A 26,201-nucleotide genomic window follows, 5' to 3' on the forward strand; every position below is an offset into this window, starting at 1 on the left:
AGCCAAGATGGCGGCCTCATGCTTGGTCCTGCTGGCGCTGTGTCTGCTGCTGCCGCTGCTGCTGCTGGGAGGATGGAAGCGCTGGCGCCGGGGGCGGGCGGCCCGGCATGTAGTAGCGGTGGTGCTGGGCGACGTGGGCCGCAGCCCCCGTATGCAGTACCACGCGCTGTCGTTGGCCATGCACGGCTTCTCGGTGACCCTCCTGGGGTTCTGCAGTGAGTGGCCAAGGGTCTGGGAGGGACGATGCTCTCTCAGCCGTTGATCCTCGGTTCTAACCGCCCCGGGGAGTCGAGGCGGAAGTGCTCCTTTAGTCGCCGCCTTTGGGCAGCTCTCCGAGATTAGACGAGCGGTTCTGCCCCAGCCTTTCCTGGGTGGGTCTCTAGGTATAGCCGGCGTTAATCTTGCCACGTGTCAGAAGTGTGTTAAGTGAATCCATTGCGTGGTCTCACGTAATTCTCCTAGTAAGTGGAACCCAGGTGCGTGGAACTCCAGGGCTAGTGCTGGTAGCTACGTCCCTGTGCAGCTACCCTTGTCAGGCTATGTCTGAGCTGACAGGATATTTCATTCCTCATCCCTCAACGCAGAGCTCTGCAGACAGATGTTTTCATTTGTTCTTCATGTCCAGCTTTTCCCCACAGTGTGCAGGGCAGCGGTGTCTGCTCCCTCATTATTCTCCACGTTGGTATCTTGAGAGGGTAGCTCAACCCCATCTCAGGAAGAAGTGGGAACAGCACTAGTTGCCTTTAATCCCTGTTTAGAATCTGCTATCCTAGGGTGATGGGGTAGAGTGGGACTTCCTAGGGATGGCTCTGTGGTGGGAAAATTCCACTATCCAGACAATCTAGATTAGTTTAATTGAGCACCTACTGTTTGCCAGGCATCATGTTAAGTGAAGGTAGGTAAGATTCAGGCCCTATCTCTGTGTGCCTCCTAGAGCAATCTGAACAAGAATTGGCCGCATTCTCTGTTCTGGCTAGTGAGGAGCAGAGAGAGGTTTTGAAATATCTTACTTTCCAAAACACTGTCCGTGATTCAGCCTGAGTTGGGAGATTATCTGACTTTAGATTGCTGCTTCTGGTACATTAAAGGGATCATTCTCATTTTTCAGACTCCAAACCCCATGATGAGCTCTTGCAGAACAACAGAATTCAGATTGTGGGGTTGACAGAACTTCAGAGTCTTGCAGGTAGGATGCCGTCAACTCCAGAATCCTCTGAATCCATGGGCTGGGGGCAGGGGGTGTTCGTTTGAAAAGCCGTGCAGATTGCCAGACGCTCCTTTGGTAGTCACAGGTGTTTTCTGACTTGCAGTTGGGCCCCGAGTTTTCCAGTACGGAGTCAAAGTTGTACTTCAGGCTATGTACTTGCTGTGGAAGTTGATGTGGAGGGAGCCAGGTGCCTATATCTTTCTCCAGGTGTGTATCAGCCTCTGCCTCCCTCTGTGAGAGCCATGTTAGCAGTTTACTTTCCAGCACAAATTGGTACTATATTGCATATTCATATGTGTGTGTGTTGTGTGTATGGGCGTTTAAAGACATGAGTAGGAGCCTATGGTATGTGTCTATTTATGGCACCTATCCATGCTCTCTGTGTCATTACAGATAGTCTTACATTGTACTGACTGTGTATCAAGTGTTTTCCATGTATTAACTCATTTAGTCCTCACAGTTACCCTAAGAAATATTGCATGTAGGTAATACAAGAACCTGTTTCTTAAGGTTGTTCTCATTTAGATGAGAAAACCTAGACTGAGAAAGGCTCTGTAAGTAGCCCATCGCCATACAGCTAGGAAGTGGTGGAATCAGGATTTGAACGTAGGTCGTCAGTGTGGTTCTATAGTATACACACGCACGCATACGCGCGCACACACAAACACACATATATTTTTTTGAGACAGAGTTTCGCTCTTGCCGCCCAGGCTGGAGTGCAGTGGCGTGATCTCGGCTCACTGCAACCTCTGCCTGCCGGGTTCAAGTGATTCTCCTGCCTCAGCCTCCTGAGTAGCTGGGATTACAGGTGCCCGCCACCACGCCCAGCTAATTTTTGTATTTTTAGTAGAAATGGGGTTACGCCATGTTGGCCAGGCTGTTCTCGAACTCCTGACCTCAGGTAATCCGCCCCCCTCGGCGTCCCAAAGTGCTGGGATTACAGGCGTGCGCCACCGCGCCTGGCCTATCGTTATACTTTTAATCCCTTCCCTTGATCACTTTTTCTTTAAAAAATTTTTCTTTCTTTTCTAGCTGAAGGAAGAATACTTTTTTTTTTAAATCAATTTTTAATATATAGAAGCACCTTCCTCTTTTATTTATTTATTTTTATTTTTCCTGAGATGGAGTCTCTGTTGCTCAGGCTGGAGTGCAGTGGTGCGATCTTGGCTCACTGCACCTTCTACCTCCCGTGTTCAAGTGATTTTCCTGCCTCAGCCTCCTGAGTAGCTGGGATTACAGGCATGTGCCACCATGCCTGGCTAATTTTTGTAATTTTTTTTAGTAGAGATGGGGTTTCGCTATGCTGGCCAGGATGGTCTTGAACTCCTGACCTCAGGTGATCCACCTGCCTCGGCCTCCCAGATTGCTGGGATTACAGGCATGAACCATCGTGACCCACACCTTCCTCTTTTAATAGGCAGCCTTGAATTCCAATATGTGATGTACTATACTGCATGTATTTAGTCTCATGTTAATGGATACTCAGATTCTTCCTGATTTTGTTTTTACTTTTACAAATAGTGTGGCTCCAAGCACAGCGAGCATATGCCTTTTGTATAAGTCCAGTTTCTTTCTTAGGGTAACTTCCCAGCAGTGGAATTGTGTAGTCAAAGTTGATGCATTTTAAAAATGTGTATGTTACTGGATAGCTTTAGAGTAAGGTTGGGTCAGTTTGGCCCCCGCTGAGTGGGGGTACCTCTTCTCCCCCATGCTTACCATCACCAGCTGTTGTTAGACCTTTTTAGAATTTGCATTCCAACAGGTGAAAAATGCCATCTCTTTGTTCTGTTTTTTGCCTCCTTGATTATTGATGATCTTGGACTTTTCAGGTTGGTTCTGTTTGTTTGTTTGGTTTTTGTTTGTTTGTTTTAGAGGCAGAGTCTAGCTCTGTCGCCCAGGCTGGAGTGCAGTGGCACAATCATAGCTTAACTGCAGCCTCATCCTCCTGGGCTCAAGTGATCCTACCTCCTCAGCCTCCTGAGTAGCTGGGGCTGCAGGTGTGTCCCACCACACCTGGCTAATTTTTAAATTTTTTGTAGAGATGAGGTCTCACTGTGTTTCCTAGGCCGGCCTTGAACTCCTGGGCTCAAATGATCCTCCTGCCTTGGCCTCCCAAAGTGTTGGGATTACAGGCATCAGCCACCGCACCTGGCCCATTCTGTTTCTTTTATGACTTTTTACATCTATTTTGGTGGTGGAGAGGGTCTTTCTTCTGCTTATTATCAAGAGCTCTGTAAAGATAACAGACTCATCACCATGTGTGTTGTGACTATTTTTACTGGGTTTATTGCCTAGCATGGTCTGGGTTTCCTCCCCTTCAAGTCTCTATCTTTCCTAGAACCCCCCAGGTCTGCCTAGCATTGCTGTCTGCTGGTTCGTGGGCTGCCTTTGTGGAAGCAAGCTCGTCATTGACTGGCACAACTATGGCTACTCCATCATGGGTCTGGTGCATGGCCCCAACCATCCCCTCGTTCTGCTGGCCAAGTGGTGAGAGTCTAGGAAGAGGGTAAAATACCGTCCCCTAAACCACTCAAGGATGAGTGAGAAGAAGGGCCATAGTGGGCCTCCGGAAGTCGGTTCCTTGTGGGCTCTGCAGGAGGTGGGGTGAGGCTGGTGAATCAGGCCGAATGCTGGTTCCAAATGATAGAAACAGGCCTCAGCAAAGGACCACATTTTTTGGCCCATGAAATGGAAGTGTCTGTGGAAATGGTTGGTTTCGAGCTCAGCAGTGTCACTGGGACCCAGCTCACGTCTGTCTCCACACTCCCTTCTGGTGGTGGTTCCCGGAACTCTCCTAGCTCTTGTCCTCACGTAGGCTCATTGGGGAGGGCAGCCCTTTCTGATTGGCTCATGTAGGTTACCTGCCTTCCTCTGATCTGCCTGTTGAGGCCAGGGGGCAAGTGCTCCAGCAGAAGAGCTGGGTCTCAGGAGCATCCATATCTCATGGACAGAGGGTGGGTGAGGGCAGATCCCCAAATTAAAACCCAGGGCTGCTGTTGGTAGCTGGAGAAGTGGGCCACAGTTGCTGCAGCTGATGTGACAGGGAGGGAAGAAGGGCCAGTGGTAGCAGTGGGACGTGGAGCTGGGAAGGTCATCTGCTGTCCTCTGAGCCCAACTATAACATCTCTGTTATACTCTGCACGGCCAGCCTTCAGGTGCACATCCAGCCTCCGTGTGCATGTCCAGCTGCTGCGTGTACTTCCGGCCTTGGGCCATTGGCTGGCTGTGGCCTTCGCCCTGATAGTTTGTTCACTGGCAGTGGTGACAGCAGCAGCAAACAGCTTAGTTGAGCAAATGGAGCAGAATGGTCAATGGTGAGCACCTGCTGCATGCCAGTCCTCCATCCAAGCCCTTTTTGTATTTTACCCTGTTCAATCTCTATGCACCTCAGGAGGGTGTACCTTTTACAAGTCAGGAAACTGAGGCTGAGAACGATTATGCCTCTTGCCACACAGCTAAGTGTGAGGACCAAAATATCCCAGGCAAGCCCATTTCCGAGCTTTCTCTGCATCTTGAGAGGAACAGGCGATGATACCCTGGCGGTGATAAATAACCCAGAATCGCGCATGCCGTGTTCCGGCTCTACCCTGCGATCAGGGCTCAGTCTCCGTTAGGAGAGAATGTGTACAATGCTCACTGAATCCCTTTGCCCCACGTTGAGAGCAAGCCGTGACCTTACAGCCTTTGCAGTGGTAGCACAGGGTGGCTGAGATCGCTAGTGAGGCCTTCATTGTATTTCTTCCTTTTTTTTTTTTTTTTTTTTTTGAGACAGTCTCACTCTATGTCCCAGACTGGAGTGCAATGGCGCCATCTCGGCTCACTGCAGCCTCCGCCTTCTGGGTTCAAGCAATTCTCCTGCCTCAGCCTCCTGAGTAGCTGGGATTATAGGCACCCACCACCACGCCTGGCTAATTTTTGTGTTTTTAGTAGAGACAGGGTTTCACCACGTTGGCCAGGCTGGTCTCGAACTCCTGACCTCAAACGATCCACCTCCCAAAGTGCTGGGATTACAGGCATGAGCCACCGCGCCTGGCCTGTATTTCTTCCTTTTACAGCAAGAGAGAGGATGTTCACTTTGGCAGTGATACACAGTGTCCTTCTATTTATTTTTTTAAATTTGTATTTATTTATTTATTTATTTGAGACGGAGTCTTGCTTTGTTGCCCAGGCTGGAGTGCAGTTTCCTTTTAAAGTGATTGTATTTAAGCCAACAAGTGACACAACATAAAGGAGGGTATATACAGCATAAAGAAAGAACACTGGCACAGCTGGGGCTCAGGGAGCTCAAACTCTCCCAGCTCTGCGGCCTTTTCTCTGTTGAGGGATGTCGAGTCACGCTGTGGTGGTAGCGGAGGCCTGTCTAGGGCTCTGCTGACTGCTGATCTCTCTTTTCAGGTACGAGAAGTTCTTTGGGCGCCTGTCCCACCTGAACCTGTGTGTTACCAATGCTATGCGAGAAGACCTGGCGGATAACTGGCACATCAGGTACCATGGCCTGGGATGACGGCGGCCTGGGAGAGGCGCGGGGCCCCTGATTGGCTGCAGTGAGAGCTGCCTTGCCTGCTGCCGTCCTGCTGAGGGGCAATTTGAAATACTGAGGGCCTGGGAGGTGGTCTTTGGTTTGGGGAAGCTGGGGGAGGAGGGGGCAGAGTTTCTTTCTTAGCCAGCCAGGGGGTCCAGGCAGTTTTGGTCCTAGGACGTCTCTCTGTGCATTCCCAAGTAATTGCAAGGCTTCTTCTTGTCATCATCTGAGACTTGGATTCCCCAAGCGTCCTTCTTTTCCTGGAGCCTCTGAGTCCTCTGTTCCTGAGGCCTTTCTTCAGCCCTCCCAATAGCCCCGTCATGATTTCATTGCAGGGCTGTGACCGTCTACGACAAGCCCGCATCTTTCTTTAAAGAGACACCTCTGGACCTGCAGCACCGGCTCTTCATGAAGCTGGGCAGCATGCACTCTCCGTTCAGGGCCCGGTAGGCCTCCCATCCTCAGCTGCCTTCTCTCCTGCTCGCCACTGCCCTGGCCTCTCCCCTTCTCACTGCAGACCTGGGAACCCACTCATCCAGGGGTTGGCAAACTAAGGCTACAGGCCAGTCTGCTGCTTTTGTAAATCAAGTTTCACTGGGACACAACACACTCATTGCCTTCTGAGTTGTCTACAGCCGCCTTTGAGCTGCAATAGCAGAATCGCGTTTTGCAACAGAGAACCTGTGGCCCGCAAAGCCTGAAGTATTTACTCTCTGGCCCTTTAAGAAATGTTTGTGGACCCCTGCGCTGTCTTACTCTCCTGCCAGTGGCTTCCCAGGCCTGTGGCAGGATCTGTGGACCTGTGTGTCCCCTGGGGTGTCTCATGGGGCTAAGGAGGGGACCTTTGTGCAGGTCTACGCACCCTGAGGTGTGCCCTGGGTAAGCTGGGGTGGTGTGGGAGGGCGTCCCTGCACCCTCATCTTGAGTCCAGGGGATGATAAGACAGTAAGTCCCGTGGAGAAAAGGAATGAGTCAGTCTTGTTTGCTGTTGTAACCTTAGCACCCAGCAACAATATTAGAGAAAGCAAGCCCAGGCCTCAGATGGCAGGGGTGGCCTGGTGCTGCTGATGTGGCTGGGCACCCCAACCTCTGGGAGCCTGCAGGCCTCGCCACGGCAGGAGATGCCTCTCCTGGGTCCCGGGCCTGCTCTATGGCCTCTCACAGGCTTTTTTTCTGCTCCTTCAGCTCAGAACCTGAGGACCCAGTCACGGAGCGGTCGGCCTTCACGGAGCGGGATGCTGGGAGCGGGCTGGTGACGCGTCTCCGTGAGCGGCCAGCCCTGCTGGTCAGCAGCACGAGCTGGACAGGTCTGCAGGACCCCTGGGGCACTTGGGGTTGGTGTGACGGGCACCTGGCCAACCTGTGTTCTCCTCACCCCTGCCAGTCCTGCATGCTCCCACCCTGCCACGGTCTCAATGAGAACGGGAGGGCCTGTGAGCTGGAAGAGGGGTGTCTAGAAACAGGCCCCTGACATTCAATTCTCTTCTCATAGAGGACGAAGACTTCTCCATCCTGCTGGCAGCTTTAGAAAGTAGGTGTGTGGCTGCGGTGAGGAGCTCTGGGCTTGTCGGGGGCCACTGAGCTGTAAGCTGCTTGCCTGGCCTGCAGCATGTTCCTGTCCCAGGCCACTGGGTGGGGCAGCCTGGGGACAGCGGGGGTGGTGGAAGTGGGCCGCCCTGAATCCCCAGTTGGGTCATTGAGTGACCAGGCCCTCAGGCTGAAATGCCCCCTCCAGGAGAGTATCTCACACAGGCTGGTGGCCTCCCCGCCAGAGCAGTGCTCTTTCTCCACCTGACCAGGTGACTCTGGCTATTGTTTATTTAAAAATTTTTTTCTGAATGGGCATGGTGGCTCAAACCTGTAATCCTAGAACTCTGGGAGGCCGAGGCAGGCAGATCATCTGAGGTCAGGAGTTCGAGACCAACCTGGCCAACAGGGCGAAACCTGTCTCTACTAAAAATACAAAAATTAGCTAGGTATGGTGGTGGGCGCCTGTCATCCCAGCTACTTGGGAGGCTGATGCACGAGAATTACTTGAACCCAGGAGGCAGAGGTTGCAGTGAGCTGAGATCGCGCCATTGCATTCCAGCCTGGGTGACAGAGTGAGAGTCTGTCAGAAAAAAAAAAAAATTCTATCAGAAATTCCATGTAGAATTGTTTCTTTTTCTAAACACAGAGTTTGAACAACTGACTCTTGATGGACACAACCTTCCTTCTCTCGTCTGTGTGATAACAGGTACTGCCTGGGACCCTGGGTGTCTGTTTGGTTGGGGGATGGCGGAGGGGGAGGGGCACGCAGCCTTTACCCTGTGCTTCCCATGATCTTGTCTCCTTAATCCTCACTGCAGCTCTGCCATAGGGTCTTATACTGCTTGACATGGGGGAAACTGAGGCTCAGAGGCAGGGCAGGGAGCCCAGATTTGAATCTGTAGATACCAAGCTTTCTACTTTTTCAGTAGTTTCCAAGCATCTTTTTTTTGTTGTTGTTACGTCATTGGTGTCTTTTTTTTTTTTTTTTGAGACAGAGTCTCTGTCGCCCAGGCTGGAGTGCAGTGGTGCGATCTCGGCTCACTGCAACCTCCGCCTCCCACATTCAAGCAATTCTCATGCCCCAGCCTCCCGAGTGGCTGGGACTACAGGTGCCCACCACAACTGCCTAATTTTTGTATTTTTAGTAGAGACAGGGTTTCACCATGTTGGCCAGGCTGGTCTTGAACTCCTGACCTCAGGTGATCCACCCGCCTTGGCCTCCCAATATGCTGGAATTACAGGCACAAATCACTGTGCCCGGCCATGTCATTGGTGCCTTAACCAAGCCTCTTAATTTTTCAAACGGAAGAGCCCCTGTCCCACAGTTACTGCTGCTGAGCCCTTTCAAGGTGACTCAGTGAGGAGGGAGAAAAGCGGAAGCGGTGTGGGAAGAGGCCGGGTCTGGGCCAGCTGCTGGTCCTGCTCTCCTCCCTCCTCTGGCCTCTAGGCTCCCAGGAGTGGTTTGGAACCCGCGCCATATGCTCTGGGGGCTGTGCCAGGGCAGGAGGAGTCCTCGTGTCCCCTGTGCACAACACAGACAAAAGGCTGGGTCCACCCAGTGGGCGGTCGGGTGCCAGGCCAGTGCTTACCCCGCCATGTTTGCAGCCCGAGGCCAGCTGGCTGCAGGTGAAAGGCTATGCGTCAGGGGTCAGGGTGCACACACCCCTGCAGGTCTCAGGGCTCCTGGGTTGCTTCTGGAAGGGCCCGGATGGGGCCTGACTGGAGCTGCTGAGGGGTGGAGCTTCTGGGAAAGGGATCCCTCCTAGGGGGGAGTGTCTTGGGCCTGGGGCCACGTGGCAGGGACAGAGATGGGTCCATGGCAGTGTCTGCTCTTCTCTGTGAAGGCAAAGGGCCTCTGAGGGAGTATTATAGCCGCCTCATCCACCAGAAGCACTTCCAGCACATCCAGGTCTGCACCCCCTGGCTGGAGGCCGAGGACTACCCCCTGCTTCTAGGTGAGAGGCCAGCAGGAGGCTCAGGGAGGAGGCGGGGGGAACAGGGTGGGCGGGATGTACTTTTTCTGAAAAGGTGGCTCTGGAGGCCACTGGGGGACGGGACCTGGGCTCTGGCTGAACTCCCAGGAGGAGGCTACTTCCTGGTGTGCCAGCCCCTCCCTGCCAGGTGGCCCCAGGGGCCGTTTACCAAGGGGTTTGAGGAGGCCACGTCCTTTCAGCCTGCCACGCCCTCCATTCAGTCCTCTTCCTTCCTGCAGGAGGGCTGGGCCTGGGGTTGGGGCCACTGTTGCCCAGGTGTGGGAGGGCAGTGGCTTTGGGAGGTACGGGGACGATGTGTCAAACAGCGTCGCCTCTCCCAGTGAGATGGTTCTCCTTTGCCTCCGTCTCTTTCCCCGTTGATTTCTCCAAGTGGGGAGTCGTGCCTTGGTCCTGATGCGTCTCTAGAGCTGCATCTTCCAGCTTCGAGTGAGCAGAGCAGTTGGAGGCTGAAGGCCTTTTCCTGGCAGGACTCTCCACCTAGTCTTTGTTTTAGACAGTCTCGCTCCGTTGCCTAGGCTGGAGTGCATGATCTCAGTTCATGCAACCTCTGCCTCCTGGGTTCAAGCGATTTTCCCACCTCAGCCTCCCGAGTAGATTACGGGATTACAGGAGCCCACCACAACACCTGGCTTATTTTTGTATTTTTAGTAGAGACAGGGTTTCACCATGTTGGCCAGGCTGGTCTTGAACTCCTGACCTCAAGTGATCCTCCTGCCTTGGCCTTCCTAAGTGCTTGGATTCCAGGTGTGACCCATCACGCCTGGCCCCAGCTAGTCTTTAGAAATGTTAAGCTATTTGGCTTTATTTTCACAGTGACAGCTGGTTTGTGGTGGGTGTGCTGTGGTTTATTATTATTATCATTTTGAGATGGAGTTTCGCTCTTGTAGACCAGGCTGGAGTGCAATGGTGTGATCTTGGCTCACGCAACCTCCGCCTTCCCGGGTTCAAGCGATTCTCCTGCCTCAGCCTCCCGAGTAGCTGTGACTACAGGCGCCTGCCACGATGCTTGGCTAATTTTGTATTTTTTTTAGTAGAGATGGGGTTTCACCATGTGGGCCAGGCTGGTCTTGAACTCCTGACCTCAGGTGATCTGCCCGCCTTGGCCTCCCAAAATGCTGGGATTACAGGCAGGAGGTGAACCTGGGAGGTGGAGGTTGCAGTGAGCTGAGATTGTGCCACTGCACTCCAGCCTGGGTGACAGAATGAGACTCTGTCTCAAAACAAAACAACACAACAACAAAAAAACCAAATTGTGGTTACGTATAAAAAGTGTCAACTTACATTTTCAGATGTCCCAGCCAGGCTGTGTGGCTGCTTGGCCAGCTTAAGCCACTTGTGTTTGGGGCTGTTGGGGGCCTTATCTGATTTTCACTCTCCTTGGGGGATGCTGCCTCACTGTGCTGGGAGGATTTGTGTTCCCAGGGCAGAGACCAGTGCTCTGACCCACCCCTCTTGCCTAGCAGGGTCGGCGGACCTGGGTGTCTGTCTGCACACGTCCTCCAGTGGCCTGGACCTGCCCATGAAGGTGGTGGACATGTTCGGGTGCTGTTTGCCTGTGTGTGCTGTGAACTTCAAGTGGTAGGAGCAGAACCCAAATCCTTCTGGGGATAGCTTTGCAGATCCACCGCTGAGGGGGAAGCAGTGCAGAGGGAGCTGCCCACAGTGAGGCCCTGCCCCTCGGTCAGTCCGGCACACACTGGAGGCCATGAGGAGGAGCCCTGCGGTTACTGTGGCTGGGCTGAGCCTCACTGAAGTAGTTGCTTCCATTTAGAGCTCATGTTATATTTAGGTTGGTACAAAAGTAATCATGGTTTTTGCCATTAAAAATGGCAACTACTTTTGCACCAACCCAATATGAAAACAAAAAGCACCTTAAATACCAGAACTCCACTCGGGGCTTTTGCTCCTAGGGTAGAATTGGTGGGAATTGCCTGCAGGCTTACATGGTTTTCTTTGTTTTTCTCTCCCACCATGTCCCTTTTGGCCAAGCTCACATGGTCGGTTTGAATCAGTTAAATGAGTGTCATGCTGTGGCCTCACTGCACCCAGCGTAGACGGGTGTTTGGAAGGGCAGTGTTAGAGGAGATTCTAGAAGCAGTAGCCCCAGCACAAGTTGAGCCCTTGGCCCCTGCTCAGGAGCCGGCCCCTGGATGGGATTTAGGGATGTGAGCCCCTCGTGTGAGCTGAGCTCAGGGAATGTCGGGATCAAACCTGGTGCCCTAGAAAAGTCATCTTTTATGTGCTGAGCCAGTCCCCAGGGCGTTGCCTTTACTTGTTCCATGGCCATGGAATTAAGAAAAACATGCAAAAATAATTCTTCAGTCCTTGAAGAGCATCCAGCACAGAAGGTACAAACCCCCCTTAAGGCTCCCTCCTCAAATGGGTGTGGCCATTTTGATGTGCACCCCCCCAGGCCTTTATACCCTTCAGATGCCAAATCTAAGAACCAGCTCCCGGAAACCACACCCCCTGTTCCAACCCCCAGCCTGGCTTGAGCATGGGGTGTGTGGGGGAGCCCAGGTGGGCACCCCAGGGGTCTGGTGTCTTCTACAGGCAGCTCTCAGGCTCCCTTGGTTCTCTCTGCAGTTTACATGAGCTGGTGAAACATGAAGAAAATGGCCTGGTCTTTGAGGACTCAGAGGAACTGGCAGCTCAGCTGCAGGTAGCCACGTCTGCCACCACGCCAGGGTGGGGAGGGTTCTGGAGACTGGCACCGAGCCAGGCTCCCTGATCCCTGCTTCCCACAGCCAGGGTGGGACCATGTGGGGTCTGGCGGAAAAGCTAGGGAGGGAGCAGAGGTCACAGAGGCTGGCCCACTCTGCTGTCCCGTTTCGGTACAGTAGGCTCGGGAAAGTTAAGACACACCCCCACCTGCCCTCTGGATTTATGGAGCTGACACTCCACAAATGATGCTGGAGCTGGGTGGGCCGGGCTGCGGTTGAGGAAGTGATCAGGATCACGTAGGTGGGCGGGCAAAGGGAGCTTCTGGGACCAGCCTTGAAAGATGGGTGGAATTCTGCAAAGGTTACTTGTTTCTTATTGCAAAAAGTAATACATCATTCTTGCCAACAGAATGATTGGCAGGATTTTCAGTAAAGGTCCAGGTCGGAAGTCGTTTAGACTGGGTTCCCCAGTCTCTGTCAGAACCATGGTACTCTGTTGGGGTGTGAAAGTAGCCACAGATCATCTGTAGATTAAGGGGTGTGGCTTTGTTCCAATAAAACTTTATTTACAAACACAGGCTGTGGGCTGGATTTGGCCTGCAGGCTGTAGTTTGTGATCCTTGATTCAGACAGTTTAGCAAGGCTGCAAAGAACACCGACACCCCCTTGTTACCCACAGATGGGTGAGACTGCGTTGGCCAGAGGCCGAGAGGAGGGTGCTCACAGGGGAATGGGCAGCACGTAGAGGCCGGGAGGTGCTCCAGGGCACCAAGTGTGGGAAAGTGGGACATGCGGGGAAGTTTCCAGAAACTGTGATGTCAAGTTGGAGGCGGAGTGCTGCTGGGGTGTGAAGGGTCTCGAGTCCAAGTGAGGGAGTTAGGGACTTGGGAGGGGTTGTTGTTGGGTCGGGGACCTGGGGTCAGCCAGGTGGTGACCTGGGATGGGGTGGGGACAGGCAATGAGGTAAGCTCTGCTCTTTATTTTTTTGCAGATGCTTTTCTCAAACTTTCCTGATCCTGCGGGCAAGCTAAACCAGTTCCGGAAGAACCTGCGGGAGTCGCAGCAGCTCCGATGGGATGAGAGCTGGGTGCAGACTGTGCTCCCTTTGGTTATGGACACATAACTCCTGGGCCAGAGGCTAAAACCCCAGGACCCCTGCTGTCCTTCCCGCAGCTTCTTCTTGGAGTCTCAGGGCAAACCCTTTCGAGCAGCACCTCCCAGTGGCCAGAAGCTGAAATGACAGCAGTGGTACTGCCTGGTAAAAGAATTGGTTCTGTGACCCGGGAAGCTTTGGTTGGCCTTGATTTCTTCTCTGGAGGCTTGGAAACGCTTCCTCTCTTCTTCTGTTCTTCACGCCCCATGCCCCTGCTAGCGTATTACTGTTCTGTGACTTCCCTGTGACCTCTGCAGAACTCCTCATCCTGCGTTTGGTCTCCAGGTGTCCCCTTTCTGCCGTGTTCCTAACATTTTGATTCCTGTCTTGAAAAAAGCACCTGCTGCACCGTAAGCCCAGGGATGTGGCAGCTGCAGTGGGCTTGGCTTTGTGAGGAACTGAGTGTGTCCACGTTGGGGGAACATCATACTTGATACACACGTTTTTATTTGCACAAAGAAAATGCTATTTTTGGAGCCAGAATTTTCATGTCTGATTTATGGTGATTTTCTTAAGAACCAGAACTGCTGGCAGAAAGGGGGCACCCACACGCTTAGATAGCCGATGTCTTATTAGAGGGCAGTTTGTGGTTCCTGATTTGGAAATTAACATTCTCCAAACATTCCAGTCCAATGAAAGTTTTATCCGCTTTCCCATATAAAAATTCTTCCCATGAGAGTGACTTGATTCTCACAATCCCGTTGGAGTCGTGTGTGAGTCCTACAGGGTGAGATTCAGCATTGCCATCTCCAAGTGCTCTTCGTAGGGAAACAGTTTCTGCTCATGACGAGGTTCCACTTCCCATCTGATCCCGGCCCGGCCTGGAAACAGAGCACATGTGTTTGAGGATGGCGGTGTTTGGGGACAGGACATGAGGGTATTGTGTGGGGCTGCTAGGACAGGCCTGGCGGGGTAGGGGGGTGTCCAAGTCAGTTTACTTGGTTCACAGGTTCCCAGGCCCACCCAGGTGCCTAGAATTGGCCTCCAGGATGGGACCAGAAAGCTGGTTTTGCATAGAAATGGCTAGCAGCAGGCACCGTGCCGCTGTCCACTCTCTGCCTGTGTCTGCCCCAGCACTTGGCACAGCGGGACAGAAGCAGAGATCTGAATAGTCAACCCACTCTTCACAAAGCTTAGAAAGCGGCCGGGCACAGTGGCTCATGCCTGTAATCCCAACACTTTGGGAGGCCAAGGCGGGCGGATCACTTGAGGTCAGGAGTTCGAGACCAGCCTGGCCAACATGGTGAAATCCCATCTCTACAAAAATACAGAAATTAGCCAGGCATGATGGCGAGTGCCTGTAATCCCAGCTACTTGGGAGGCTGAGGTGGGAGAATTGCTTGAACCCAGGAGGTGGAGGTTGCAGTGAGCTGAGATTGTGCCACTGCACTCCAGCCTGAGTGACAGGGTGAGACTAAGTCTCAAAAAAAAAAAAAAAAAACCACACGCACCACACACACACCCACACACACACACAGCTTAGAAGGGGCTGCTGTTCTCATAAGCACAGATGTCTGAAGAGCCGTTAGCCAGAATGATTCTTTTTTTTTGTTTTGAGATATGATCTTGTTCTGTCACCCAGGCTGGAGTGCAGTGGCACAGTCATTGCTCACTACAGCCTCGACTCCTGGGCTCTAGCAATCCTCCCACTTCCTGAGTAGCTGGGATGACAGGTGCGTGCCACCATGCCAGTAATTTTTTTATTTTGTAGAGATGGGGTCCTGAACGCATGGCCTCAAGTGATGCTCCTGCCTCAGCCTCTTTTATTATTTGTTTTTAGACGAAGTTTTACTCTGTTCCCCAGGCTGGAGTGCAGTGGCACAATCTCAGCTCACTGCAACGCCTCCCAGGTTCAAGTGATTCTCCTGCCTCAGTCTCCCGAGTAGCTTTGACTATAGGCGTGCACCACCACGCCTGGCTAATTTTTGTGTTTTTAGTAGAGATGGGGTTTCACCATGTGGGCCAGGCTGGTCTTGAACTCGACCTCCCGTGATCTGCTCACCTCAGCCTCCCAAAGCCTCAGCCTCTTACAGTGTTGGGATTACAGGCGTGAGACACTGTGACCCGGGACGATTTTCAATCACAGTTTTTTGTTACGAGTGGAAAATGCGTATTTATAAGAATGAAGTAGTACAGACATGAATGTGTAGAAATCTCTATAATCCTGCCATCCAAGGATGGCACCTGTTAATGTGTATATCAGGGATGTCCAATCTTTTGGCCTCCCTGTGCCACACTGGAAGAAGAAGAATCGCCTTGGGCCACGCATAAAATACACTAACACTAGCAATACCTGATGAGCTAAAAGAAAAAAAATCACAAAAAAACCTCGTACTGTTTGAAGAAAGTTTACAGATTTGCGTTGGGCCGCAAGTTGGACAAGACTGCTATATGTATATTCTAGGTTTTCCCCTATAGGTATACTTATGTGAAAATGATTATTGTGATAAATTTTGTTTTGAGATGAAGTCTCGCTATGTTGCTCAAGGTGGCCACAAACTCCTGGGCTTAAGCCATCCTCCCGCGTCAGCCTCCTGAGGAGTTGGGAATATAGGTACTCATAACCATGTGTGGGTGATTATTATTAGTTTTTAAACAAAAATGGGGTTGGGCGCAGTAGCTCACGCCCGTATTCCTAACACTTTGGGAGGCTGAGGCGGCAGATCACTTGAGGTCAGGAGTTCAAGACCAGCCTGGCCAACATGGCGAAACCTCAACTCTACAAACAATACAAAAAATAGCCAGGTGTGGTAGCACGTGCCTGTAGTCCCAGCTACTCAGGAGGCTGAGATGGGAGGATAGCTTGAACCTGGGAGGTGGGAGGTTGCAGTGGGCCGAGATGGCACCACTGCACTCCAGCCTGGGCAATACAAAGCCAGACTCTGTCTCAAAAAAAAAAAAAAAAAAAAAGGTGGGTGGGGGCTTATACTATGTGTGCTGCTTGGCACTGTTTTTTTCACTTAAAATATATTGCAGGTTTTTTTTCACGTAAGTATCTGAAGAAAGACTTCCTTTTTTTTTTTTTATTTTTTATTTCTTTGCTTTTTTGAGACAGGGTCTTGCTCTGTTGCCCAGGCTGGAGTGCAGTGGTGAGATCAGGGCTCACTGCAGCCTCCATCTCCTGGGCTCAAGCCATCCTCCCACCTCAGCCTCCTGAGTAGCTGGGACTACAGGCGTGTGCAACCACATCTGGCTAGCTTCTGTATGTTTTGTGAAGATGGGGTCCCACTATGTGGCCCAGGTTGGTCTTGAACACCTGGGGTCAAGTAGTCCTCTTGCCTTAGCCTCCTAAAGTGCTGGGATGACAGGCCTGAGCCCTGCGCCCGGCCAGCCTCCTGTGCGAGGTTGTGGGGGGACTCTGTCGTGGAACCCAGTACGTCTTCGTGTGCTGGCTTGTTTGTTGGCTCTGTAGTTAACGGGCTGCCCCACGTGGACAGGCACTGGGTTGTCTGTGTCTCTGTGTGCAGGCAGAGGCTGCTGCATGTGCATCTGTGCACATGGCTGCCAGGAGGGGCTGTGCTCAGGGGGAGCTGGGGCAAAGGCTGGTGGCACTGGGGGGCTTGGGTGTAGTGTGGAGGCGTGAGAGCCAGGTGGCTGGGGTGCAGTCTGCGGGAGCTCGGGGGTCTCTTGGCCTCCGTGTGTCCTAGTGTCTTTGTTGGTGAGATGGGACAGTGACAGCACACCCTCACAGTTGCTGGGGGCTGACAAATGTCAGGTCTGAGGACAGTTGCTGGCCCACTATGGGGCCAGTTCCCCTTCTCTACAGTCACCCTGCTCGTCTTCCACCGACTGGGTGCTCAGGACAGTGGCGTGGTGGATCCGCCTGTACATCCTGTGCTCCAGCGTCCTGCAGGCCACAGCTGTGTCCAGCCCTGACCCCGACTGCCCCTCCCGCCACCTCCATTTTATAGATGAGGAAACCGAGGCCCAAGGGCTTAGGGAACCCTGCTCTGAAGCACACAGTAGGGCTGCTGGGCTCAGACCCTCCCTCCCTGTGCTGAGCTGCCCTCCTCCTGCCGCAAGCCCCCCACGCCCCAAGCCCACCCTGCTCACTGGCCTCTGCCTGAGTTCCCCCCATGGTGTGGGAGTGTGGGGCAACCTAGCTTTTCCCCGGCACCCAGTTCTTTCACTTCCACTGGCGTCCTGCAGGGACAGCTCAGGGACCATGCAGGCCCGGGTGGGCGTGGAGGCTCACCTAGCTCGGTGGTGAACAGCTGGCACGTCTCTGGGTTGCGGACGGTAAAGGCCACGTAGACCTCAGGAGCCCGCTGGTGCTCCCGGCAGGCAGCCAGCCTCCGCAGGACCCCGACCAGCGACATGATGGCTTCTGGGCAATACAGCACATCTATGGTGAAAGCTTCAGGTTACTGAAAGGGACCAGTGGACAGGTCCAGGTCATGCTGACGTCAGCAGCAGGGCGAGGCCAGAGAGGCAGCGGTCATATGAGACTAGTAGATGCCATTTGACCATTTGGGCCATTAGATGGAAAGGCAATTACTTGGGTGAAAAAGGAGAACCCTTAGTAGAGAAAGCTGCAAAAGACCGAAGCAAAAGAAAAAAATCTCCAGACTCACTGGTGTTCCTTAAAAAACCAGCTCTGGTTCTTGGCCTATCTAGAGGGCTTTGAATGACACAAAGCCTGACCCTGCCATGAACTTCATGTTTCAGGCATCTGCTGATTTGTCTGCTGGCTTGCAGGGGTGGGCTTGTGTCCCTGGCCACCGCTGGACCTGTGGGTTTCAGGGCTGGGACCTAGGACCACAGGCAGAGCTCTGTTCCACCAGAGAGGGGACTGAGTGTGCTGGCAGGGGTGAGGGGTTTTCGGTGGCCCAGCCAAACACCACCTTCTCTCAAGGGCCCTGTCTTCGTCCCAGAAGTGGTTGTTTTCCTCCTGTGGTCTCTGAAGGACACAGGGCATGGCTCTGGGACAGAGCCATGTGGTAACGACTGGAACGGGAGTATGCCTGTCTCCAAAAAGAGGGCTGTGGGTTGAAGGTCACCTTAAGAGGCACCCCTGTCCTGTGATGTCACCCTGGAGGCCCAGAGTAACTCTTCTGGAAGCCCCATCATGTCCATGCCCGACAGCGTCCATTGTTCCCTTTTCCCAGAGCCAAGAGCTGGGTAGAGCTGCAAGGACACCACCTGCACAGGGTGCCCGGGGCTGGGCATTACCTGCTGCAATGACAACATCTGGCTGGAAGGCAGAGAGCTGATGGACCGTCGCGACGTCCCAGTCCAGCTGGGCCACTGTCACCCTGGGGCTGTCTAACTTGGCAGTGATGTCTGCCTCTAATGAGAGGCCATTGAGAAGGACATTCCCTCGGAGCTGCTCAAGGACCCGGCTGTGACAGTCGCTGAAGATGTATGCCCGGGGGCGGCACATCTTGCAGATGGCCAGGCCTGTGAGGCCAGCACCACTGCCAAGCTCTAGGACAGTCCTGGCGGGAGGAAAGGGGACCGTGTCTGCGACTGCACCAGGGTAAGCCTGCCTCGGTGCCCTGCCCTGCGCCCCGAGGTCACCTGTTAGTGAAGACTGCCGGGTTCTCGATGGCCCATTCTGCAAGGTAGAGGGCGGCGTCCCATGTGACCAGGCCTGTGGTACCGTAGGAGATGATGGCCGTGCTCTCGGAGAGTGTGACCGAGCCTCCCGAGGGCTGCACCAAGAGAAGGCGAGAGAGTCAGTCCAGCGATCAGAAGGCAAGTGGCTTAGAAGACAAGTAGCCCCACCACATGGCTGAATAAACCATGACAGGACCAATCGCCACTCAGCAATGAGAAGCAGCTAACTGTTGGCATGCCAACAGCTTTCACGGGCCTCAAGGGTGTCACGCGGTGTGAAAGACACTCATCTCAGGCCACACAGGATTCCATTCATCGAACCTTCCTGAGACAACGGAATTCTGGCGATGGAACACATGTCAGTGGTGGCCAGGGGACAGGTGTGGCTATGAAGGGGTGGCTGCCTTGTGATGATTCAATATGCTGTTTTTCCTTTGTGGTTTTCTGTATCTATGTTTTATCTTATTTTTTTTTGAGCTCTGTCACCCAGGCTGGAGTCAGTGGCACGATCTTGGCTCACTGCAACCTCTGCCTCCTGGGTTCAAGCAATTCTCCTGCCTCAGCCGCCCAGGTAGCTGCGAATACAGGCGTGTGCCACCATGTCCGGCTACTTTTTGTACTTTTTTTTGAGACAGAGATTTGCTCTCGTTGCCCAGGCTGGAGTGCAATAGCATGATCTTGGCTCACTACAACCTCCACCTCCTGGGTTGAAGAGATTCTCCTGCCTCAGCCTCCCTAGTAGCTGGGATTACAGGTGCCCACTACCACACCCCGCTAATTTTTGTATTTTTAGTAAAGATGGAGTTTCACCATGTTGGCCAGGCTGGTCTCAAACTCCTGACCTCAGGTGATCCCCCCGCCTCAGCCTCCCAAAATGCTGGGATTACAGGCATGAGCCACCACGCCCGGCCTGATTTTTGTATTTTTAGTAGAGACAGGGTTTCACCATATTGGCCAGGTTGGTCTCGAACTCCTGACCTCAGATGCAACCACTTCGGCCTCCCAAAGCGCTGGGATTACAGGCGTGAGCCACCACGCCCAGCCCTGTCAAGTATTCTTTGAGGACTGGGCACCAGGTCCTTGTGAAGCAGGTAGTGTGTGTCACCTATTGGATAAGTGCCCAACAACTCCACGAGACATGCTGTTGTTGTTGAAGTGCCTGATTTACAGACAGGGAAACTGAGGCTAAAGAAGGTTGACGGACCTCATGTCTAAGACTGTAGAATGGGTGAGTCAGGATTTGAACCCACACCCACGTTTTCACTTTGTCTGTGCAGGAAGGGTATCTGGGCTGTGAGGGGGAGGAGGGTGCCCTTCTCATACCAGCAAATAGCTCCGGTGGCCCTGGGTGGACTCCTTGGCCATCAGGGTCTCCGCCAGCGCTTCATACAGCTCGTCCAAAGGCTCTGTGTGGACAGCCTCGTGCTGGGGGCAGACAGAGTGAGAGCTTGTTTGCTTTCGTTCTAATCTGTAAAAATGGCCAGATGATTTTCACCAAGTTTGGAGGGGAGATTTGCGATGGAATGGTATAATACCGGCCAGCTGCCATATAAAATATTCACTTCGTTGGGCTTGGTGGTGTGTGCCGAATAGTCCCAGCTACTCTAGAGGCTGACATGGGAGGACTGCTTGAGCCCAGGAGTTCGAGGACAGCCTGGGCAACAGAGACCTTGTCTCTAAAAAAAAAAATTCACTTGGTAGGGAAACCTGGATGGGAGGGCCTTGAACCAGAGGTGTTGGGAGGGTAGGGTTAGGTGTAGTCTAGGGCAGGAGACAAGGATTCCGTGAGAGTTGCCAGGTGACCATGATAGAGAGCCGTGTTTGGATCAAACACAGAGAGGAGGAAAACAAAAGGTGCTTTTAAGTGAGCCCAGGCAGAAGTGTGAGGGCGGCCCATGCTGCAGGCTGTGGCTGTCAGCAGGCCGCTTCTCCACAGCTGGCCCCGTCCTATGATTCACAGGGCAGCAGCAGAGTACACTGGGTGACTGCTGCCCTCTCCTGGTGGCACAGGGCAGACCTGCTGGTGACCACAGATGCATGCTTCTGGGGAGGACTAGGGAGAAAGCAGGTATTGGAGAAGCAGGGGATTGTTTATTTGCTAAAAGTGTGGCTCTTTCACTCAGCAGGTCTGCTACTGCCTACTGAGGAGGCCTCTCGACATCCTCATGTCAAACCCTGCATGTTCGGGCGCATCTTTAAAATCCATCCTAGGCCAGGTGCGGTGGCTCATGCCTGTAATCCCAGCACTTTGGGAGGCCGAGGCAGGCGGATCACCTGAGGTCAGGAGTTCGAGACCAGCCTGGCCAACATGGTGAAACTCTGTCTCTATTAAAAATAAAAAATTAGCCAGGCATGGTGGCGTGTGCCTGTAGTCCCAGCTTCTTAGGAGGCTGGCATGACAGTTGCTTGAACCCAGGAGGCAGAGGTTTCAGGGAGCCGAGATTGTGTCACGGTAATCCAGCCTGGGCAACACAGTGAGACTCTGTCTCAAAAAAATAAATAAATAAGTAAAAAATAAAATTCATCCTTTATCAGTCAGGAAAGAGCTCATTCCAGCAGGATTAATGCAGAGAATTCACCAGAGGAACTAGTTCCGAAGGTATGGCAAGAGCTAAATCTTCCAACAGGGGCCTGTGGGGCAACCCAGAGACGGACAAGAGCAGGAAACTCCAAACCCTTCAGCGGGCAGGACAGAGGGTGCGGGTGAGGGTTCCAGTGCTGTGGGCTGGGCCAGCCTGGTAGGAATGAGAATCCATATGCTAGGAGCTGGGGCCCCAGAGGAGCAGCTGCCGTGGAAACCCCAGGAGGCAGAGTGAGGGAGAGATGCTGGCCTCCCCTTCTTCCCGCCCTGCACTGTCTCCCATGGGTCACATGTGGCTGCAGCCAGTTGCCTGGGGAGGCCCCTGCCATGCTGGGGTTTGCAAAGCAGGCCCAGGGCCTGGGAAGGACGGGGGCTCCAGCACGCAGGTGGCTATGCTGTCCGGCTACTGGGCGGACACTGCCCATAACTGACCTTTTTGATGAGTTCTGAGAGAAAGCACCGGGCATATTTGACGGACGGCGGGTGCTTCACACACACAGGATGCTTCACAGTCTACGGCAAAGGACAGAACGTTGGTTGCTCGAGAGCCCGTCTTAAGTCTCCTATGAGCTTCAAGCCAACACAGCAGAGGGCAAACTCCAGGCTACCCGATCCCTCAGCAAAGATGTAGATGGACACAGCGTTTTGGCCCCATGCATCTGAAGTTTGTCTTAAGATATAAGCTGTTTCCTAAAAATGCTTCCACTGCAGTGGCACAGGCTATGGCAGCATTTCTAACGCCCATTCTGAGCAGGAACACAGGGCATGTGGGCCCAAACCGCCTCCCTCCCAGGGGAGCCAGTGTGAACCAGGGTTTGCAGTAAGGACAGTCGCCAACGGTCTGGCTCTATGGAAGAGGCGGGAAGGCCCACTCGGCAACTGCTCTCTTGGAGTGTGTGTCCCTGGGGACAGGATGGAGGGGACGGGACGCTCCGGGTGACACTCCAGCTAAAGCCCAGAGAAGCCAAATGCAGGATGAGCAAGTTCTAGGCAGTGGGAACAGCTGGTGCAAGCTCTGAGGTGGCCACAGCCTGGCACTTGGAAAGGAGGGCAGAGGGACTGGTGCAGCAGGAGTGGGGACGGCGGGAAAACAGGAGCCTGGAGGGAGAGGGAGGAGACGGTCCACAGTGCCTGCTGGCTGGGAGGGATGCAGATTCTGCCCAAGGGCAGCAAAGTACCCCACGCAATACACAGGCTCTTCAGGCTGGTGCTGGTTTTTCATTTATTCTGACACAGAGTCTCGCCCTGTTGCCCAGGCTGGAGTGCAGTGGCCCGATCTTGGCTCACTGCAGCCTCTGCCTCCTGGGTTCAAGCGATTCTCCTGCCTCAGCCTCCTGAGTAGCTGGGACTATAGGCATGTACCACCACGCCCAGCTAATTTTTGTATTTTTAGTAGAGATGGGTTTTTGCCATGTTGGCTAGGCTGGTCTGGAACTCCTGACCTTAGGTGATCTGTCCACCTCAGCCTCCCAAAGTCCTGGGATTACAGGTGTGAGCCAGTGCACCCAGCCTTGTGCTGGGTTTTAAAGCAGCTCTCCCTACATTTCATGCTTCACCACCTACGAGAGTGAGGCTCAGGGTGAAACTCAGAGCAGGGTGCGAGATAACTTCAGGTATCTCCATGCTCGAAGCCCTGGTATTGCCCCGAAAGTTTTCCCTGCTGTGGCTGTATCTTTTCCACATGGATAATCTTGGTTCACCTCTAGCACAGGAATTCTTCACCGGGGCTCCTAGGATGGGCTGGGTGGGTGGGGGTGGAGGATATCTGCCTCCTGAGTTTGTATGGAAAATGTATTCTTCTGGTGCACTTCTTTCTGCGAGGGAGTCTATTGCTTGGTCTTTTCAGAAGGGCTCATGGCCCTTCGAACGTGAAGACCCAGGATGCAGGGTGATCTGCACTTGGCCCTCAAGGCCAAGGTCAGGCTGTGGCTGGGCCGGGTGGTGATCCTGCCTCTCACCTGCAGGCAGATGCACTTGAGTCCAAACCCCACCCTGGGCAAAGCAAGGGCCCATTTAGGTCTAGAGGAGACAGGAGTGGGCAGGACAGGCCTCATGAAAGCAAAAAAGAAAGTCTCTGAACATCAACCAAATGCTAGAAGCTGTTTTGCACCTGTCATCTCTGTTTTTGCTGTGGATGGTTTAAAAAACATTCCCTAGATTCCCCCCTCTCATTGCAGGTTTTTGTATATTCTGAAGTCTTTGTCTAAGTCTTAAATAGAAAACGAAAGCGCTGGAGCTGTCAGAGGTGCTGACACCCACCTGCAGTGCTGACTCAATGGTTTTGTTTTTTGAACAGGGGTGTTTTTAAAGGGTACAAGCACACCTGCAGTTCTTCTCTCAGGTCTTCTGGAGAGATTCAGGAGGCAGGGTCATGAGTCCCAGGGACTCTGGGATTCTTACCTTGTGCAAAATATCCCGCAGCAGCTCAGAATCTGATGAGTCTCTTAACTTTGCTTCTAAGCTCTGTGTGGAGGGGAAAGAGAGAAATCTCAAGGGCGCATTCACAGGAACATTAAACACGCAATAGAATGTGTTGGCAAAGCGCTGTGTGATCCCTCCCTGGGGACGTGGAGCCAGTTGGAAGTGGAAGCCACAGCGGCTGAAAGCCTGACATTCAGATGTCGCAGGGTGCACCTGGATGAGTCACAGGAAGAAGGCTGACTTTTGGCCACATTAGTCCTGGCTACTTAGCGGCCACCCGGGTCATGGGCCAGCTCCCTGGTTGCACTGCTCAGCCAGGAATTACCAGGGCAGCCATGGCACCAAGGTTTGATGGGCTTGCCATCTAAGTGGAGATGCAGAATGTGCCCATACCAGCCTGAGTTACATTATCCTCTTACAGGGGCCTCAAGCCCAGCAGCGAGCCTTGGCTCCCGAGTTAGGCAGACTGTCTCGGCTGGTATGTGACACAGGGCAAGGCACTTCATTGCTTCAGAGCTCCCTCCATGCCATAAAAGGCCCTACAAGACCTGGTCCTAATCCCTCTCTCTGGCCTGTTCTCCCTCACCCCTGGCCCACCCTGCTCACTCCACTCCAGCCACACTGGCTGCCTTGGTGTTGTTCCTCAACCACAGCTGGCTTGTTTCCACCACAGGGCCTTTGCATATCCTGTTCCCCAAGCCCTTCCCATGGCTGGCTGCTTCACCACTCAGGCCCCAGTTCAAATGCCACCTCTTTGGGGAAGGCTTCCCTGATTCCCTGACTTTGGTGACTCTTCTTCCCAGTTCCCGCATTCACTATTTCCCTGTTTTATTGGCTTTAAAGCCACTGTCATCTGGTCTTTTCTTGTTTATTTATTTGTTTATTCTCTGGCTCTCCCATGCAAGCAGAGCCTCATCTGTCATGGGTACTGCTGATCCATGGTGCCTGGCTCACAGAAGGCATTTATTAAACATTTTGAGACTGAATAAAAACACTAGCTAACACCAACATGTATTTACCATGAGCCAGGCACTGATCCACAGGCTTTTGTACTCAACCCTGACAACAACCCTAAGAGGTAGGTATCATTATATCCCCCATTTTATTAATAAGAAAACAGCACAGAGAGATGCAGTCACTTGCCCAAGGTCACACAGGGCCAGGGGCTGGGCCAGGATTCGAAGCAGACAGGCTGTCTCCTGGGTCTGAACTCTCAACTACTGCACCCTAATCAAACAATCCCTCTGGTCAAATGTGAGTGGTAATAATAGTACCCACCTCGTGGGTGTTGAGGGTGAGCCCAAGTTAGCATTCAGCGTGGGCATGTGAACAATTACAGTCAATACTGAATGGAGACCTATGATGCTTTTATGAAGGTTTCTATTTTGGGTTAAAAATGCACGAATTTCTCTTGACCAGAAATGATCTCTGAGTGCAAATATTTTATGTCAATGGAATAACGCAAATGATTAAGCAACACCCCATAAAATGGGGCAGACCCAGGGAGGAATATATATCCAAACTCACTCATCCCAGTGAGCTCACCGCACATGAATTACAAATGAGGCCGGGTGCATTAAGCCCCTCTGCTGGCAGAAGGGAGGCTGCTGCCTGCCATGGGCCTGTGCTGAGAATGGCAGGTCCCCAGGGCGAGGAGAGGCCACCCCCTTCTCTGTCTCTTCCATCACAGGCGTGACAGCCTCAGAGCATGAGCCGATTCTGTGCAGTGCTCAACATACAGATGAGAATACTGAGGCACGAGGGACAGCCTGTGACCCGGTCACCGCGCTCAGGAGGACGTGGTTACCTGCGGTCCTGACGGCGCTGACTTTTTAGAATGGGCGAGGGCAGCTGTGTCCCAGTGACCAGAACGATTACTGCCTTTAAAAAGTCGTGAAAATGATCGTGAACTGTACCCCACACCGAGCGCGCGTCTGCCCCCCAAGGCTGTGGAGACGCCCCCAGCTTCCCCCGCCAGCTCGCGGGGCAGGAGGGGTGCGAGCGACTCTGGCCAGGCCCCAGGGACGGGGACCGGGTCGCGCGGCCCTGACCGGCGGGAGCCCAGGAACTCACGTGGCGGGAGCGCCAGGGGCTTCAGCACGGAGACCCGTCCCGTCTGCCCCTGGACTCCCGCGAGCCCCGCGGGCCTCTCCGCTCGCCCCGCCGCCCACCTGCCAGGGGAAGGAGCGCAGTGTGCGTGCCGCCAGGAAGCGGCGCTCGAAACTCTGCAGCAAGAGTTCGGTCCCCGCGTTCTCCTCGGGCGCCATGACGTGGGCGGGGCCGCAGCGTTGCCGGCAGACCGGGCGGAAGCCCGGCCTGGACTGAAGAGGGGGCGGGCCCAGGGCAGTGAGCGGGGGCAGAGAGGGGGCGGGGCCCGGGGGTCCCCCGGGGGTCAGGAGGAACGTCGTGGGGGCGGACTCTAGGGCGGGGCCAGGATGATTGTTATGAGGGCGGGGCCTGGGGTGGGGCCAGGATAAGCGTCGTTGGGGCAGGTCCTGGGTAGGGGGCAGGTCCTGGGTAGAGTCCAGGTTGGCGGGTCCTGGGGCGGGGCCAGGATAGGGCGATCCTGGA

The 26,201-nt window shown here is 53.5% G+C and overlaps 2 protein-coding genes across 10 annotated transcripts, besides 12 other annotated features; one reads left to right on the forward strand and one right to left on the reverse strand.

The window, feature by feature from the left end:
• ALG1 (ALG1 chitobiosyldiphosphodolichol beta-mannosyltransferase) lies at positions 1 to 15,537 on the forward strand. Of its 4 annotated transcripts, none has more exons than NM_019109.5 (13): positions 1 to 215; positions 1,109 to 1,186; positions 1,311 to 1,414; positions 3,546 to 3,694; positions 5,603 to 5,692; positions 6,065 to 6,175; positions 6,915 to 7,036; positions 7,222 to 7,260; positions 7,906 to 7,965; positions 9,104 to 9,214; positions 10,717 to 10,831; positions 11,840 to 11,915; positions 12,908 to 15,537. In NM_019109.5, the coding sequence occupies exons 1-13, from the start codon at positions 8 to 10 to the stop codon at positions 13,037 to 13,039; spliced, it is 1,395 nt and encodes a 464-aa protein (NP_061982.3). In that variant the 5' UTR covers positions 1 to 7; the 3' UTR covers positions 13,040 to 15,537. The 4 variants fall into 4 exon arrangements, 3 of the variants coding, with proteins under 3 accessions (NP_061982.3, NP_001425052.1, NP_001317433.1); NM_001330504.2 differs by lacking the exon at positions 1 to 215 and adding an exon at positions 406 to 461; NM_001438123.1 differs by lacking the exon at positions 7,222 to 7,260.
• Positions 31 to 90: an enhancer, noted in NCBI's record as "active region_10348". NCBI's record gives its function as "activates an Ori minimal core promoter by ATAC-STARR-seq in GM12878 lymphoblastoid cells {active_cell/tissue: GM12878}" and the evidence as "EXISTENCE:reporter gene assay evidence [ECO:0000049][PMID:35858748]".
• Positions 121 to 230: an enhancer, noted in NCBI's record as "active region_10349". NCBI's record gives its function as "activates an Ori minimal core promoter by ATAC-STARR-seq in GM12878 lymphoblastoid cells {active_cell/tissue: GM12878}" and the evidence as "EXISTENCE:reporter gene assay evidence [ECO:0000049][PMID:35858748]".
• Positions 401 to 460: an enhancer, noted in NCBI's record as "active region_10350". NCBI's record gives its function as "activates an Ori minimal core promoter by ATAC-STARR-seq in GM12878 lymphoblastoid cells {active_cell/tissue: GM12878}" and the evidence as "EXISTENCE:reporter gene assay evidence [ECO:0000049][PMID:35858748]".
• Positions 10,292 to 10,793: an enhancer, noted in NCBI's record as "H3K4me1 hESC enhancer chr16:5132135-5132636 (GRCh37/hg19 assembly coordinates)". NCBI's record gives its function as "activates a minimal SCP1, AML or CMV promoter by ChIP-STARR-seq in naive H9 embryonic stem cells {active_cell/tissue: H9 hESC(naive)}" and the evidence as "EXISTENCE:reporter gene assay evidence [ECO:0000049][PMID:30033119]".
• Positions 10,794 to 11,293: an enhancer, noted in NCBI's record as "H3K4me1 hESC enhancer chr16:5132637-5133136 (GRCh37/hg19 assembly coordinates)". NCBI's record gives its function as "activates a minimal SCP1, AML or CMV promoter by ChIP-STARR-seq in naive H9 embryonic stem cells {active_cell/tissue: H9 hESC(naive)}" and the evidence as "EXISTENCE:reporter gene assay evidence [ECO:0000049][PMID:30033119]".
• Positions 12,386 to 13,298: an enhancer, noted in NCBI's record as "H3K27ac-H3K4me1 hESC enhancer chr16:5134229-5135141 (GRCh37/hg19 assembly coordinates)". NCBI's record gives its function as "activates a minimal SCP1, AML or CMV promoter by ChIP-STARR-seq in naive H9 embryonic stem cells {active_cell/tissue: H9 hESC(naive)}" and the evidence as "EXISTENCE:reporter gene assay evidence [ECO:0000049][PMID:30033119]".
• EEF2KMT (eukaryotic elongation factor 2 lysine methyltransferase) lies at positions 12,442 to 25,953 on the reverse strand. 6 transcript variants are annotated; one of them, XM_005255158.5, is made up of 9 exons: positions 25,802 to 25,953; positions 25,438 to 25,511; positions 23,610 to 23,672; positions 21,642 to 21,722; positions 19,952 to 20,053; positions 18,590 to 18,723; positions 18,242 to 18,507; positions 17,265 to 17,414; positions 12,442 to 13,890 (listed from the first exon to the last, which is right to left on the reverse strand). In XM_005255158.5, the coding sequence occupies exons 5-9, from the start codon at positions 19,991 to 19,993 to the stop codon at positions 13,790 to 13,792; spliced, it is 693 nt and encodes a 230-aa protein (XP_005255215.1). In that variant the 5' UTR covers positions 19,994 to 20,053; positions 21,642 to 21,722; positions 23,610 to 23,672; positions 25,438 to 25,511; positions 25,802 to 25,953; the 3' UTR covers positions 12,442 to 13,789. The 6 variants fall into 6 exon arrangements, with proteins under 6 accessions (XP_005255215.1, NP_958802.1, XP_011520706.1 ...); NM_201400.4 differs by lacking the exon at positions 25,438 to 25,511; XM_011522404.3 differs by lacking the exon at positions 21,642 to 21,722.
• Positions 17,915 to 18,415: an enhancer, noted in NCBI's record as "H3K4me1 hESC enhancer chr16:5139758-5140258 (GRCh37/hg19 assembly coordinates)". NCBI's record gives its function as "activates a minimal SCP1, AML or CMV promoter by ChIP-STARR-seq in naive H9 embryonic stem cells {active_cell/tissue: H9 hESC(naive)}" and the evidence as "EXISTENCE:reporter gene assay evidence [ECO:0000049][PMID:30033119]".
• Positions 18,416 to 18,916: an enhancer, noted in NCBI's record as "H3K4me1 hESC enhancer chr16:5140259-5140759 (GRCh37/hg19 assembly coordinates)". NCBI's record gives its function as "activates a minimal SCP1, AML or CMV promoter by ChIP-STARR-seq in naive H9 embryonic stem cells {active_cell/tissue: H9 hESC(naive)}" and the evidence as "EXISTENCE:reporter gene assay evidence [ECO:0000049][PMID:30033119]".
• Positions 23,531 to 24,083: an enhancer, noted in NCBI's record as "H3K4me1 hESC enhancer chr16:5145374-5145926 (GRCh37/hg19 assembly coordinates)". NCBI's record gives its function as "activates a minimal SCP1, AML or CMV promoter by ChIP-STARR-seq in naive H9 embryonic stem cells {active_cell/tissue: H9 hESC(naive)}" and the evidence as "EXISTENCE:reporter gene assay evidence [ECO:0000049][PMID:30033119]".
• Positions 25,572 to 26,197: an enhancer, noted in NCBI's record as "H3K27ac hESC enhancer chr16:5147415-5148040 (GRCh37/hg19 assembly coordinates)". NCBI's record gives its function as "activates a minimal SCP1, AML or CMV promoter by ChIP-STARR-seq in naive and primed H9 embryonic stem cells {active_cell/tissue: H9 hESC(naive and primed)}" and the evidence as "EXISTENCE:reporter gene assay evidence [ECO:0000049][PMID:30033119]".
• Positions 25,634 to 25,793: a silencer, noted in NCBI's record as "silent region_7172". NCBI's record gives its function as "represses an Ori minimal core promoter by ATAC-STARR-seq in GM12878 lymphoblastoid cells {active_cell/tissue: GM12878}" and the evidence as "EXISTENCE:reporter gene assay evidence [ECO:0000049][PMID:35858748]".
• Positions 25,964 to 26,093: a silencer, noted in NCBI's record as "silent region_7173". NCBI's record gives its function as "represses an Ori minimal core promoter by ATAC-STARR-seq in GM12878 lymphoblastoid cells {active_cell/tissue: GM12878}" and the evidence as "EXISTENCE:reporter gene assay evidence [ECO:0000049][PMID:35858748]".

The sequence above is a fragment of the Homo sapiens genome, chromosome 16, assembly GCF_000001405.40.
Source record: "Homo sapiens chromosome 16, GRCh38.p14 Primary Assembly".
Taxonomy (NCBI): domain Eukaryota; kingdom Metazoa; phylum Chordata; class Mammalia; order Primates; family Hominidae; genus Homo; species Homo sapiens.

What these genes read in the sequence shown, in the direction of transcription:
- ALG1 (NM_019109.5), top strand. Translation starts at nt 8, where the DNA reads ATGGCGGCCTCATGCTTGGTCCTGCTGGCGCTGTGTCTGCTGCTGCCG. An exon ending in CTCGTTCTGCTGGCCAAGTG is followed by an intron (nt 3,695 to 5,602) that starts GTGAGAGTCTAG and finishes CTCTCTTTTCAG; the next exon opens with GTACGAGAAGTTCTTTGGGC. An exon ending in GGACTACCCCCTGCTTCTAG is followed by an intron (nt 9,215 to 10,716) that starts GTGAGAGGCCAG and finishes CTTGCCTAGCAG; the next exon opens with GGTCGGCGGACCTGGGTGTC.
- EEF2KMT (NM_201400.4), bottom strand. Translation starts at nt 25,897, where the DNA reads ATGGCGCCCGAGGAGAACGCGGGGACCGAACTCTTGCTGCAGAGTTTC. An exon ending in TGCGGGATATTTTGCACAAG is followed by an intron (nt 21,723 to 23,609) that starts GTAAGAATCCCA and finishes CCTTTGCCGTAG; the next exon opens with ACTGTGAAGCATCCTGTGTG. An exon ending in GCCACCGGAGCTATTTGCTG is followed by an intron (nt 18,724 to 19,951) that starts GTATGAGAAGGG and finishes CTCTTGGTGCAG; the next exon opens with CCCTCGGGAGGCTCGGTCAC.